Source organism: Homo sapiens, chromosome 10 (genome assembly GCF_000001405.40).
Source record: "Homo sapiens chromosome 10, GRCh38.p14 Primary Assembly".
Classification (NCBI taxonomy): domain Eukaryota; kingdom Metazoa; phylum Chordata; class Mammalia; order Primates; family Hominidae; genus Homo; species Homo sapiens.
Window position 1 is genome coordinate 43,859,002 of NC_000010.11, and position 14,245 is coordinate 43,873,246.

Consider the following 14,245-nt stretch of genomic DNA (forward strand, 5'->3'; position numbering starts at 1 on the left):
TGATTAACCCACAGGAGGGTAATCCTGGTAAGCAAACGTAACCAAGATTCTCCTTCCCCAGTGATTCCAAGTGCAGCCTGGCTCTCCTGGTCAGGTGCTTCCTTTACTCAATATTTCCTGATCTGTTCCTAGATCCTAATACCACCCTCTGCGTCAACCTGTGAATGCATCCTCACTACCAGGGCTCAGGACTTGGAGCCGGGATTTTGCTGACATGGTCTTTTCTCTGGTTGTCACCTTCCATTTCTTCTTTGGTTTGCCTTTCATTTTAATGCCAGATTTTCTAAGTGTAAGAAAGGAGGGTGGAGAGTGGGCAGAAGTCATTGTTTCCATCATGAAAGTCAACATCAGTATTTCCTGTCCTGGGGACAAACCAGTGCCTCATGTTTCTGGAAACGCTGCAGCATTTAACTTCAATTTTAATCTGGATAACGCCAAAGCTTTTCCTCAAATTCACCCCTGGAGTCAGCTCATAGATGCTCTGATTTTGTCTACCATTGCTCCTCCTTAATATCTCTCGCACAGGTGCCATTGACCTTTAGATGGGCTGTACGGTGTGGGGTTCGGTGCCATGGATCTGCTTCTCCAGGGACCAGGATCTTGAGATCTTCAGGCTGGGTTTCCATGGAGGCATGGAGCTGCTTTTCCTCCTTCATAACTGCACTCAAAACAGCCCTGTTGCTCTAGAATGGAGACTTGGGCAACTCCTTCTGGCACAGATTTGTTCACCTCAGGTGAAATTCAGATAGAAGCAAGCTGCAGGCAGTTTCACCTCTAAGTCCATGGGTTCTCAACTGGTAACGTCCTCTTATGGATGTTAGCCCATGAGGTCAATCCTGTAGCAATCTAAGGCTTGAGAAAAATTAATCTTCTGGAAAATTCCAAGAATACATCTTAGGGAAACTGGCTCTACCTTTATGACTTGGATCACACAAGGATATGCTTTTCATCTTGGACTAGAACTGAGAGCCAATGGATGTGTTATCTAAAACTATCCCAGTGTGTTCACTATACAGAGGAAGATTCTGAGATTCAAGACTCAAGACTGAAGAAGATCATTATTTTTATTATTTTAGTCTTATGCACAAAATGATATCTACTGAATAAGCAGGTTTTTAATAGGTGACTTATATATGTTAGCAAAAATAAACACTTTGTCTTTTAGATCTATTCTAGTTTTTCAGTAGCTGTAGACTTAAGTGCTAACTTTTAGCCCATAGGATAAGAAGAAACCAAGTCCTAAAAGTAGGCCAGCACCAGGGTTCAGGCCTCTGACTTCAAGCCAAGGGCTCATCATCTTGAATTGCGCACGAATTTTTACACAGCGCCAAAGGAAACTGCCTGTACTTACTGTTGTAGGTAAGACAAACCTTTGCTTATTTTTACTTCTCATGAATAAATAGTTGCAAGAAGAACTGCTGAAACAAAGGGCATTAATGAGCTTTTGCTACATATAAATAGGGAGTGTGAACCAGCAGTGTGGCGGAAGAACATTTTCCCCTCAACTACGGCAGGACTATGCGATGTTCTCCAATGAGCTCATCTTGTCAATAATGTGTAGACCTTCATGTGCTTTTTAATTATGTGCTGATTTTATTACAAGTGAACCTGTCCTCTTGTTTGTTCCCTTATACATATTCACTGTCTTTATACCTTTCCTTTCCCTCCACGAACTGTCTGCTCATATCTTTTGCCCTTTCAGAGGGAATAGTCTGTTTTTTCTTATAGGCTTATAATATTTTAAATGTAATGATAATGTTAAGATTTTTTTGACATGTACTTTATACTTTCCCAGTTCATTATGTATATTTAAATGTTTCACTAATATTTTAAAACATACATCTTTTCTTAAATTTTCCATGGTTTTATCTCTTAGCCATTATGCTTTTGCTTTCTGTGGTATATTCCTGGGGAGTGTCTCACTGAGACCCTTCGGTTTCTCTAAGTTGGTAACTTTATCTCCCGTGATGAGAAAGCTTTTCAAAGGGAGAGCGTGACCATTTCCATATAGAGTACAGTGTTGTTTTGGGGTTTAAGATTCTATTCCCGGGTGTCATCACTTCTTTTTAAATTTAACTTTGTTATGGAAAATCTTAAGCATATGTAGAAGTAGAACAAATAGTCTAATGAAACCTCACTTGTTCATAACCTGGCTTCAATAATGATCAGTACTTAGCTATTCTTACTTCATCTACCCCTTTACTCTGTGTTTTATTTTTCCTGGAGTATTTTGAAGCAAATTCTAGAAATATATATATATATATATATATATATAAATACCAATATAGTATATATATACACACACACCGTATTGGTATTGATATATATATATATACACCATAAAATATGGATATATTTTACAACATAAAATATGGTGTGTGTGTATATTATATATATAATGTGTATAATACACACACACACACACACACCCTGGAATACTACCCAGCCATAAAAAAGAGTGAAATCATGTCTTTTGCAGTAACATGTATAGAACTGGAGGCCATTATCTCAAATGAAACGACCCAGAAACTGAAAGTCAAATACTGTGTATTCTCATTTATAAGTGGGAGCTAAATAATGTGTAAACATGGACATAGAGTGTGGAATAACAGACGTTGGAGACTCAGAAAGGGGGGAGGTTGGGAGGGCAATGCGGGATGAGAAATTACCTAACAGTTACAATGTATACTAATCAAGTGATGATTACACCAAAAGCCCAGGCCTCATGACTATGAAATCTATCCAGGTAACAAAACTGCACTTGTACACCCTAAATCTATAAAAATAAAAAAAGGAAAAAGCTATAGAATGGAATAGTATACTGCAGTCATAATAAATGAATCTCAGCTAAATATAAAAATCATTGTCCTTTTGCAGGTGCTTTGCTGGATTCAGGATGCAGACAAGGTCCACGCATTGTGGTTGGGTGAGGTGTCTTTTAGGTCTCTTTTAATCTGTAATACTTCTCCCTCTCTTTTAAAAATGCATTTATTTGTTGAAAAAACTTGGTCATGGGTCATTTTTCTGTACAGTGGATTATGTTCTGGATTTAGCTAAATGCCCTCTTGTTGAAGATTTATCTTCCATGCTTCCTGCAGGTGGTTATATCCAATGCTTGATTAAACTCACATTTTTTTTTTTTGGCAAAGCCACTTTATATGAATGCTGTGCATTTCCTGTTGTACCTTCATCACATCAGGAAGCAACAATGTCTGGCCTTCTTGCTTTCAATGTTGTTAAAATTGGTGAGTTCAGGTGTCATGGACCTAGGAGTCACCAATCCTCTACATCTTTATTGACAATTTTCTCCAGAATTCAGAGTCAGTGGTGAGCATAATGGTTGGGAGTGATGGGTTGGAGTCAGACACTCTTCAGTTTGAGTAATAGTTCTGAAAGTCACTTGTTATGCCTGAGCTAGGTTGCTCAACCCCTCAGACCTTTCAGGGCTGACTCAGCTTTAGGAGTGGATACTCCATTTTGTGTGTGGGACTGTTGTTTGAGTGGGGTGAGTTGTGTGAGCTGGACTTTGGCCCAGTCTTGGCAGAGTGGTAGTTGTGATTTAGTGGCATTCGTTTCAAGCAGATGGAATTTGTTTAGATGACCCTAAAGGTCTTTCCAAATCTGACGTACTAGGATGAATTATCAGATGGCTCCTATAGTTGGGTTACCACATATTAACGGTAAATCTGGGGGTAGGAGAGCTCACCATTCAGTTGTAATAGTTCAATAGAGATGACAATTCTGCCAGATTTGGATCCTGTGGGCAGAGCTGAGAGGTCTGTAAATTCACATTCACTCTTCAAATCCTGGTTTATAGCAGCCAGTCAAGTGTGTCACTAAGATGAAGATAAATTATAATGACTACAATTTGGTAATTCATTTACTTTACTGAAATCAGTGCTCAGTCATGTTACAGGCGCGACTCCATCTGGTTCCCATCAATGACAGAGGGAGCATCATGTTTGGACAGAGGGGCTGCATCTGTGTCTATGCAGGGAAAGCTGCATGGATTATCCAGCAAATCATGGTGTAGACCACCAGCTTGGCCAGTCCAGGTCCAAGCCAGCCGGGTGACTCTGTCTTGCTATTTATTCACTTCTGCATTCGACAAGTACTGTGGACACCTGCTGTGTGCCAGGCACTGCTCGAGGTGCTAGGGGGAGATCAGGAAGCAAGAAAAAGTTTCCCTGCCCTCCTGGAGTTGATGCGTATTCCAACTGAGAAGTGGGGGTGTAGCCAACAAACAATGAACATAATCCCCAAATCATAGAGCAAGACATGGGTGATACAAATCATGGCAAAGAAAGCATTGTGCAGACTGAGGGGTTTCTTATTTCCTGAGAAGGACGTGGATTGCAATTTAAGGTGGGATGGGGGTTGGTCCGATATGTGAGCCTGGCTAACAAGATCGGGCAGGAAGTAATGTCTCCTTCAGACCCCGCCTGCCCAGTAGACCACCCGCTTGGCACTGATCTGGGCCTTCGTGTAACCGCCGAGCACAGGAGGGCCATTGCTGCTTGGCATCACTGCCCTGGATGCCGGGATCACAGTGCTGCCCATCCCTCTGCTGCCTCCTCTCTGTGTCCTGTCAGTGGTCCTGAGCTCCATTCCCTCAAGGGTCATCTTCAGGCCATGATTTGCATGTTGGCTCTCTTTGGGGCCCATGGTGCTTCATTTATTCCCAAAGGTGCCTTCTCCTCCCTATTCTGATCGAGACTAAAAGGCCTCCTGATCCCATTGCTTTGCCAGGACAATATTGCTTCCCAGGGAAGACTCTGCTGGCACATTTTAGGCATTTCTGGAAGAACACCATATCACCATCATCACCATCATCATCAGATCTTCCCCAAGTCCCATCTGGGAGGGTCTCATGGGAGCCACATGTGGACTTGGTTAGGGAGCTCTCCTGAGCCTGGACTGATGGCTGGCCCAGCCCAGGCTTTTGTTTGCCACAGGAAGAGAGCTTTGTGCAAACCCTTGTTTAACCTGGCCTTCCCTCTTTAGAAAGAGAATGTTCACCAGATGAATCATGCCTAACATGCTCACTGGAGCCAGAGGACTTTGGCTCCCAGGCTGTTTACTGCAGCTGAGACTTTGTCCCGTAAGTGTTCTTAGGAAATGACAATGGACAGAAAATTGTCATTGTTTTTGCTGAAAAAAAAAAAAAGTTTGAATAGTTTCCTTGGCCCAGGCTGGTTGGTGGCAACCCCGGCCCCAGCATGCTCCTCAGCCGCCTGCTCTCCAGTGTGCCCTTGCCTGTCCACACTGCTCTGCAACCAGGTGCCCTGCTGTGCCCTTGCTCAGGGGCTGGCTGTGCACAACATGACACGTGGTATGTGTTGATGTCCGATGGGCTCACATGGGCAGGGCTGTGCTGTGGCTGTGCTGGAGGCCCTCACCTGGTCTCTCTGCTGACTTCCTCCCACCACTGCCTGCCTTGGGTGGGAGGACACCCGGCCTTCCTGGTCATAGGCAGGGTGGACTTAGAGAGGCAGAGCGTGCTGCAGGCAGGGTCTGTGTTTGGGTTTTGGCAGCCTGGATGAAATCCCGGCTCTGCCACCTGCCAGCTGTGTGTGAGTGGCCAGGTCCCTTGACCCATCCTGAGTTACAGTGCCCACTTGGCTCTGTTTCTGGACCTCAGATATGGCTCTTTCGGTCTCTCTCCTCTTTGTAACATTAGAGTCAATCTCTAAGACATCATGGAGTTGCCATTGAGCTTGCCTTCCCGCCTGCACAAGCAGGTCCTGAGGCAGCTTCCTGCAGCCTCGCACACCCTGCCGCATCTTCAGGGCTTGGAGGCCTCTGTGTCTGACTCTGGCTCAAATGTAATTGCAGCTCTAGAGGAAGCGACCCACACCACAGGGAAGTGAGGAGGGTGGGGGTTGTGTCCAGATGTGCCCACAGCAGGGGCCAGGAGAGCCACCATGGCAGCAGCGACAGAGCCAGGGAAAAATGCCATCCTATGATACGCAGTCTTTAACCCAAATGATGTTTCTGCAGAAACTTTTTGCATTTGCTACTTTGACAGATGGACAATGTTTCAGTTCTTAATTAGCATGTTGGGTAATTACTGCTATTAATCTTGTCCTTTTTTCCATGTTCATTGGCCACTTTGACTTTTCTATACCCATCTTCCTTATTGAAAAACAAGATAGGAAACTTTTAGTTATTAGCTAAATTATGAAGACCTAATAATGCATGGCATTATATCCTTGAAATTTGCTAATAGATTTCAAGTATTCTTATAAAAATGTGATGGATATGGTGATTAGCTTGTTCCTGGTAATCTCACAATGCATATATCAAAACATGACCTTGTACACCTTAAATACTCAATTTTTATTTGTTAGTTATACTTCAATAAAGCTCGGAAAACACACACACGCATATTCACACACATAAAGAGTAGCAGCCAAAACAGATAACTGAAGAATTCCCTTGGCAGCCTGCGCTGAGCCCCGGGGCTGTTCGTGCTCCCAGCCCTCTTTCTATCCTCACATGGTGTGGTCCTGAGCTGCTTCTCCTCTGCCCTCCTCCTCTGTCTCCATCCCTTTCCATTTGGCTCCTACTCCTACACACGAGTGGAAACTGTGCACTCCAAACCCAGGGGACTGCAGGAACCTTGTCCTGCATCTCCCCCTAAACCCATGGTGGGAACAGTCTCTCTGCCCTTCTCTGCAGGGGCTCCATTCCTCATCCATCCTTTTCTCCGTCTCTCCTGGTCACTCCTGCTGTCCACTGTCCTTTCCTCCTGGGCTCTGTGTTTCCACAGCCCCTCTGTGCATTCCGCACATGTCCTCTGAGTGGACTCTGCAGTCCCTGCCGGCCCCACACCGACTTGCCCTGTGTCCTGAGCACAGGTCTGCAGGTAACAGTGACTGATGGGTGTCTCCACATTGTGATATTCTGCTGGAACCTGAAACAGCTGCCCTTGACAACAGCTCAGCACAGAATCCCTGGCCATCCAGCTATGACAGGGACATGGATCCTGCTTCTTCTTCCCGCCAGTCTCTTAGTTGTCTATGCCTTCACCCTGTAGTGGCCCATTCAGCCACTAAGTCCAGCTGCTCTCCTTTCCGTGTCTGTGGAGTCACCCCTTAATTCAGTTCCTGCGAGCTCAGTGGCCATGATTTGATCATTCCTGTCAATTCCTGGACTACTCCAGCCTTGTCCTACACTGCCTTATTTCTTACAAAATGGCAGTATAAACATGGAGAATGGAATTCCTAGCTTTGTTTCTCTCCTTTTAAGCCACCATGATCTTCTCTGAGCACAGCTCCAATCCTACTTCTCACATATTCAAAAGGGTTAACATTTCCTCGCTCACCCCAATTGTTTTCACATGCAACCCAATGTCCCTACAGTCTGTCGCCTATTGACTTTTCAGCATTTTCGGGATGATCTCTTAGTACAGCCCTTGGAGTTCTCTTGTTGTCTCTCTTTTCCAGGGTCTCAGCAGCTTTTGTCATTGCTAACGGTTTCTTCCTCCTGACACACCATCTTGGCCTCCAGGTCCCATTCTCTCCTGGTTCCCCTGCGCACTGCTCATGGCTATTGTCTATGGGGGGCAATTGTGGCTCGGTCCTAGCTGTCACTCTTTCTCATGTGGAGCTCTCCTCTGGCCACCTCATTCAGGAGCTTGGCTTCGTGAGCTCCTGTGTGCAGCTGACATAGAAATCTCCTTCTAGAACTTTCTTCACAGCTCCAGAAACACACAGACAATCACCTTCCTGAAGCTCCCATGTAGATGGCACCTGCGTCTTGACATAATAAAAACAGAACCTGAATCTGGAGCCCTAAGTCACACCTTGTTCCCGTGCTCCTCCTGTTAGGATATTGCCTTGGAGACAGCAAACCCTCATCTACCCCAAATGCAGTCTGTCCCCGCTGATTCTGCCTGTCAGGTGTTCTCAGACACATTCACCTTTATCCACAGCCAGCGTCTCAGTTGGAGCTGCAGCAGCTCTCTCGAGACTGCATGGTGGAAATGGCCAGGATGCCTCTCTGCACTGGTCCTGTAACTTGCAAGCCTCCCCCTGCACTGCATCTGGCCGGCATGGCCTTTTTCAAAGCTTCACTGTGCTGCTGTCCTGCCTAAAATCCTTCAGTGGCTCTACATGCTTCACATCCTTTTTTTTTTTTCATTTTTTTGCAGAACAATGACTAGATCTTTACCTGGTCCACAGCCCTCCCCAGTCTGGCTGCAACCTCTCATGAGGCTGAGCTCACCATGAACCCCTGCTCTAGGCGTCTGCATAGTGTTCTGTTTGTCCCCGTGACTGTCCACCTCTTCTTTGGCCTGTTGGCATGCGCTTATCCTCCAGACCTCAGTCCAAAGGTGAGCTCCTCACAGAAGCTTTGCCGGCGTCCCCAGGGGCTGGGGCGGGGGCAAGGGCAGGGGCAGGGGCAGGGGCATGTTCTTTCCTTTGAGGCACCTCCCACAGTGTTCATTTGCATGACTTGTGTGATTATTTGGTGGATGAAAGTTTTCCGAGTGCTTGTGGGGGTCATGCCTCTTTCTCCTGAACCACTAGTTGAGAGAATACCCTTCCCTTCTTCCAGCACAGCTTTGACATCACATAGGCACCATTTGGTGGTCTTCACAAGTCACTGGGCTTTGATAAACACCCTTCACCATAAGGAAAATGAGTCGGATGACTTAAGGATCACCCCAAATCAGGCATAAAATCTGGATTCTTCTGGTCGCAGGCCAGCAGGTCTTGGTGCCTTCGGATCCTTAGAGTGTCCTAATTTGGCTACAGTTTTCTGTCTGCAGAAAGGCTCCCAAAGGGAAGACGCCAGGCTGGAACGAGAGTGACTCATCCCGGGCCCTCATTGTGCCTGATTCACCCAGAGGAAGCTTTGTGTGGACACAGCTACCCTCTGGAGATATTTCAGGCCTTTGGGAACAGAGTAGGGTTCCTGCCTTTGTAACGAGCAAGTTCTTGGCTCCCTTCCGCCCTGTTTGCCACCTTCCCTCTATTTCTGTGGTTTCCTTATTTGCCAGTTCCTGGGCCTGGTGGACCCCACCACGACTTCTTTTTGTGAGTCCGTTCTGTCCTGCATCCCTACCACAGCTGTACCTGGCCCCAGACTCCCTCCTCCTAGCTGGCGGGCGGGTGGGCAGGGTTCCTCCCCTAACCCATCAGGGCCTCATCTCTGGAGGCAATTACTGCCTGGCCTGTGAAAATATATAAGGAGACTTGAAGAGGTATCATGTTACATCCTTCATATTTTGCCAGCAATAAATCTAGCTCTTTCCTCTTGGGTGGACTCTCAACTCTAAATTAAGAGTCTATTTCTAAGGAGGAAGATTTCATAGGCCCCGAGGTTCTGTATGGCCTGCTCACATTTCAAGGGTTGACCTAAAAGCTGGAGGCTTTCAGAATCGCAGGAAGTCATGCCCAGAGATCTGTGGCTTTAGGATCCATGTCCCACTCACAGCCCTCCTGCTTCTCCTGTACTTCCCGCCAGCTCGGACCTCAGGACCTCTCTGGTTTCCACCCTGTGCTCTGGCCTTGGCTGTCCGACCTCACCCAAGCCTGGATTCTGCTTTTCTCTTCAAATCTTCCATAATCTTTCCTGGGAACACATCGCAGGCCTAGCAGGGCTTGCTGAGGGAGCAGCTTCCTCGGCTGCCTTGAAATCTGCATTTTTATCTCTTCCTGGTGAGTCTTATGCCCAGTAAGATTCAAAAATGTTTTTCTACATGCTAAGTTTTGGGGATCTGAGCTCCATTCCCCAAAGCCCTGGCTTTAGCTTGCTTCTTATTTCAAACTCTATCCTTGTGGGTGGTTCCCCATTACCTATCTGCAAAATAGTCCTAAATGCAGCCTGGGAGTAGCCCACCTCTGCCCCTCTGCCACAAGCCTCCTCCCAGGTAGCCCTGCTGGCCTGGCCTGGAGAGTCCTGCCTTGCTGGCCACCCCTTGGTGGCTTGGTGTTGCTGGAGAGGAATTTTTTAGGTAGCTCATAAAAAGAGATGTTGTCTGGAGTGTGCCTAAAGTCCTAATGAGAAGACAGAGACAGCATATGGCTGACATGGAGCTGTGGGGGGAGGCGTCAGAGGTAGGCGTCCGGCAGAGGGAAGAGGCAGTGGGCCAAGGGGGTGGCTCAGAGCAGACAGGGCAGGCTGGCAAGTGTGGTTGGTGTGGTCTGGTGTCCTTGTCCCAGAGTCAGAGCCTGGCACCCCGGCAAGGCGGCACCTTAGGGCCCTGTCTGGCCAGAGTTGACCTGTCCACACCTGCCCCCACCCGGTCTCCTCCATGGCTTCAGGCTAGAAGGAAGCAGAGTTACATCTCAGGCCCTGGAGGGGCTGTCTGGCTGGAATGAGACAGATAGGCTGTGGGGGTGGATGCTCAGCGGCATCCCCTCCCTGTTCTGTTCATCGAGTCAGGGGACCTGCAGCTGAGGATGCCCTTAGGTAGGCCAGGCAGAGACTCCAGTCCCTGACCAGCCATTCTTGTGCCTCTCCTTGGACATTAGCCAGCTCAGAGCCCTGGGTTTGAGGGGAGGTCTCCTGGGAGCTTGTTCTCCTTGGAGGAGGCCCCATTGTGAGCCTCTCTCCTCATGGACCACAGAGCCTGGGTGGTGGCTCTGGTGGAGAGTACCAATTCAAGGGGCCAGGAAGTAGCATGTGTTGGAGCCTTCCCATTTGAGGACACAGAGTCACCCTATTTTGTTTGTTTCATGGATGGAGTGTCTGGAGACCCAGCATTTCAGAGCACAGGGCACAGACCTCTCCCTGAGTCAGGTGGAGCCCGGGACAGCGCTCCTGGGATGACAGGTGCAGAGTGCAGAAGCCCACCCGGAGCCACAGTGGCTGAGGAAACTGGGTTTTGTACAGGCACAGCTCCAGAATGGCTTTCTGGTGTGTGTGGGAGGAGGAGGTGAAGGAGTGGGGGGCTCACTTTGGCTCACCTCTGCAGGAGGCTCAGCTGGCTCCTGGCTGGTATTACTGGGACACAGGCAAGGAGCACTGCCATCAATTACTGTGCTTGCTCAGCCACCTTCTACTCTCTGTAAGGACAAGGCCCTTGGTGATCACACTCGGATGGGCATCAGACTCACCCAGGAGCTCTGAGAAATCCCTGGGCCCGGGTCCCACCCACTTCAAGGAACCTGGGGCTCTATGGTCCTTATGATCCTCCCAGGTGACTTGGACATACATCAAAGTCTGAGAACCACTGGCTGGACGACACAGAGTGTGTGGGGACAGGATGGTTCTTGTGCGGATAGAATTGCTATCAGGCTAGCTGGAGGAGCCATGGACTCCAGTCTCTGTAAGGCCTGACCCAGAATTTTCCACCCCGGCTGCCTCTTAAAATCAGCTGAGGAGTTCAAAGAATAAAGATGCCTGACCCCTCCCCAGATATTCTGCTTTCATTGGTCTGTGGTGGGGCCAGGCCTCAGTACTGCTGAATCTCTCTAGGTCTTTTTAATGCGCCGTCCTGGATCATGAAAACTCTACACCCACATGGACACTCATTTTTATGTTGGTTTTAGACTGTCTTTGCTCACAGGGGATGCTTGGAAAGGCTACTCCATAGATTGCTAAGCCCACATTTTGAGACTGAGAACCAGAAATCTTGGGGATGGTGACCATGCTCCACCCACATGCATTGGAGGAAGGGTCTGTCATGGTTGGAATAGGATGTTTCTTACCTATTGGATTTTACTTTCAGGTCAATGCCATTGTACACACACACACACACACACACACACACACACACACACACGCGCCAGACAGCGAGGCCAATTTGCATAAAGGGACTAACTTCTACAGAGCCTTGTCAAAGGGCTGAGAACATGCACCTGCCTCAGGGGGAGGGTGGTGGGTGGGTGGGGTGGCTTGACTCATTTTGTTTTTGTCACCCTCTTACTTGAGGGGTGACTGCCTCCCCAGGTCTATGCCTGGGGAAGATGCAGTTGGGAGCCACGGTCACAGAGAGCTGCTGTTGTCAGAAACAATCCTCAGGCCTCTGCAAACTGTTATTGTGCATGTTCATTCCCAAGGGCTCAGCCTCTGAGGAGTCGTAGGAGAACAAAGGCAGCAGTGCTTGCCATGTGAGGCAAACGTGCTTCTAGACCACAGAGGATGGGCGCTCCGCGGGGGCTGCCTGGAGCTGCCAACTGCCCGGCCCCGCTGGAGACTTGGGGCTCTGCACATGTGGCTGGCCTGCCCTGACCTGCCCCTGGGGCCACGCCCTCAGCATTTCCACTCAAGTGGACTCCCTTCCTTTACTGGTCTCAGAGTTGAGAGGAGAGTGCAAGGCTGACCGGAGAGCAGGAGGACAACATCCCAAGGTCACCTAGTGCCAGGGAGGGCTGTGCCTCAGGGCAGGGTGGACACAGAGCCCTACATCGGCCAAGCCCGCAGAGGGATGCCCATGGGCGAAGTTCTTCTCACATGGCCTTATCTTTTCACACACAGGTCCTGTGGGGACATCGCGATTTCCATAAATGACAGCTCAGGAGGATGGGAGAGTAGAGTTCGACTTTGACTTAGCTTAAAATAATTAAATAAATCAAACACACCAAATACACACAAAAAACGTGCACTTGCCCCAAACTGTCCCCATTTCTGAGATGTTGTTGGATGGTGCAGGCTGCCTGGCAGAATATGACATGGTGACAAGGGTTGCCCTGGGGAAATCCAAGCCATACCAGCTTTCCACCTGGACCCTGTCTCAGCATTCACTGCCCCCGGGACAGTGGCTGGAGTACATGGGCAGCGGCCAGGGCACCTGACTTCCCTGGGCTCTGCTGCCTCCACATTTGTAGCCTCAGAGCAGAGAACTGCCTGCCTTCTGCCCCACACTGCCGGGAGGGCTGCAGCTGAGACAGCTGCTGAGCGTCACCATGTGCTCCCTTCCCAGACCACCAATGGGGAGAGCTTTTTTTTTTTTCTTTTTTTTTTTAAAATGATACCATTTATTTTTCATTAAAGCAAGAAACCATGTCATTATAACAATCTGCTACTGAGAATGGTTCTCACAAAGGTATGATCCAGTAAATATTTTCTCCTGAAACAATAATATGTATTGAATAAATATAGAATGAAGTTTAATTTATGTTAGATTTTTGTAAAGTTTATATCTCTTCAAATCCACATGTGGCCATGATATTACTATAGAATCTCAAATCATTAAGAAAAAATTATGAACTCCATTTATGTAAGCAGATTCTAATGCAGTCCAACTTGTTTTGTTAAAGTCATATTTGATATAGAAAGAAGGCTATTGTCAGGGTTCATCACCCACCTACTCTTTAAAGGCAAATATTACTCAAATATTAATGTTCTCCACCAGGTAGACTTAAGAAGAACACAAATGCAGAGTCTTTAATTTCAATATTCAATATCAATTATCTTATTTCGTGAATTTAAATCAATAATGGTTTAATTTAAGCATTCTCTTTTTGCTATTTTAGTATAAACATGACCATTGTTGCTTCTGAACATTTCTTGGCCAGAGAATGAATCCCTTTGTTTCTCGACTTACAGCTCTCCCAAGCTGCTATATTCCAAATTAAAAAGGAAGGATTTTAAAACAGGATTCCAAAGAAACTCTATGCTTTTTTAAAAATTTGAGTAATTGCTAATAAGATTAGAAGAGTCAACAGTTAGACCTGAGACCAAACTGGACTGAGGCTGATTTGAGCTCAATTTGGATATTTTAGGCTCACACATGGCATCCCCAGCCTGGTGAGGGGTGAACTGCCGTTTCCCACAAACGCATCCTCAGAGGTAGAAGCTATAATCAGGTCACTCAGCAAATGTCCAGCACCTCCTTGGCGCCAGGCACACTCTCTGGGTCCTGGGGCTGTGGCCTTGAAGGAGAGTACTGGCTCCCTGGCATCTCAGTGCCTGGAGAACTGCGCAGGAGGCAGAGAGTGCAAACACGGAGTGGGTGAGTCGTGGTAGGGCAGGTGAGGGTGTAAAGGAAGCAAGCAGTGTGCAGCCACAGAGGAGCAGACAAGGACTTGTTTAGACAGGGCCATCAAAAAGACCTTGTTGAGGATGTGGGCCTGGAACCAGTTATAACTATAAATCCTGAGTTTGAAATCCCAGAGCTGAAAGTAGCCTCAGAAGTCATAGGGTATAACTATGCTGTGGTCACAGATGCAGAGATGTGCAGGACCAGAACAGAACTTCCTGTGGGTAGAGGCAGAGCCATGGCCAGGACCCAGGAGACTGGGCTCCCAGTGCCATCCTGCCTTTTTCAGGGGGACTCTTATATGGGTTC

The 14,245-nt window shown here is 47.6% G+C and overlaps 1 long non-coding RNA gene across 1 annotated transcript in view, besides 5 other annotated features; it reads left to right on the forward strand.

Annotated features, from left to right (window-relative positions):
• The first annotated feature begins 409 nt into the window (after positions 1 to 409).
• The window catches only part of LINC00840 (long intergenic non-protein coding RNA 840), a 36,023-nt gene continuing 22,187 nt past the window's right edge, over positions 410 to 14,245 (forward strand). Inside the window, exons 1-3 of the long non-coding RNA NR_038268.1 lie at positions 410 to 1,359; positions 2,878 to 2,926; positions 8,156 to 8,338. This is a non-coding gene — a long non-coding RNA (long intergenic non-protein coding RNA 840). The remainder of the gene's footprint in view (positions 1,360 to 2,877; positions 2,927 to 8,155; positions 8,339 to 14,245) is intronic.
• Positions 3,999 to 4,499: an enhancer, noted in NCBI's record as "H3K4me1 hESC enhancer chr10:44358448-44358948 (GRCh37/hg19 assembly coordinates)". NCBI's record gives its function as "activates a minimal SCP1, AML or CMV promoter by ChIP-STARR-seq in naive H9 embryonic stem cells {active_cell/tissue: H9 hESC(naive)}" and the evidence as "EXISTENCE:reporter gene assay evidence [ECO:0000049][PMID:30033119]".
• Positions 4,500 to 5,000: an enhancer, noted in NCBI's record as "H3K4me1 hESC enhancer chr10:44358949-44359449 (GRCh37/hg19 assembly coordinates)". NCBI's record gives its function as "activates a minimal SCP1, AML or CMV promoter by ChIP-STARR-seq in naive H9 embryonic stem cells {active_cell/tissue: H9 hESC(naive)}" and the evidence as "EXISTENCE:reporter gene assay evidence [ECO:0000049][PMID:30033119]".
• Positions 5,763 to 5,932: an enhancer, noted in NCBI's record as "experimental_12564 CRE fragment used in MPRA reporter constructs". NCBI's record gives its function as "activates a minimal promoter by MPRAs in K562 erythroleukemia cells, with activity observed for the introgressed 10:44360297 or rs79466182 variant allele {active_cell/tissue: K562}" and the evidence as "EXISTENCE:reporter gene assay evidence [ECO:0000049][PMID:34662402]".
• Position 5,848: a transcriptional cis regulatory region, noted in NCBI's record as "Neanderthal adaptively introgressed variant 10:44360297 (GRCh37/hg19 assembly coordinates) or rs79466182 in the experimental_12564 CRE". NCBI's record gives its function as "modulates activity of the experimental_12564 enhancer by MPRAs in K562 erythroleukemia cells {active_cell/tissue: K562}" and the evidence as "EXISTENCE:reporter gene assay evidence [ECO:0000049][PMID:34662402]".
• Positions 8,160 to 8,454: a silencer, noted in NCBI's record as "tiled region #2960; K562 Repressive non-DNase unmatched - State 22:ReprW". NCBI's record gives its function as "represses a minimal TATA promoter and a strong SV40 promoter by Sharpr-MPRA in K562 cells {active_cell/tissue: K562}" and the evidence as "EXISTENCE:reporter gene assay evidence [ECO:0000049][PMID:27701403]".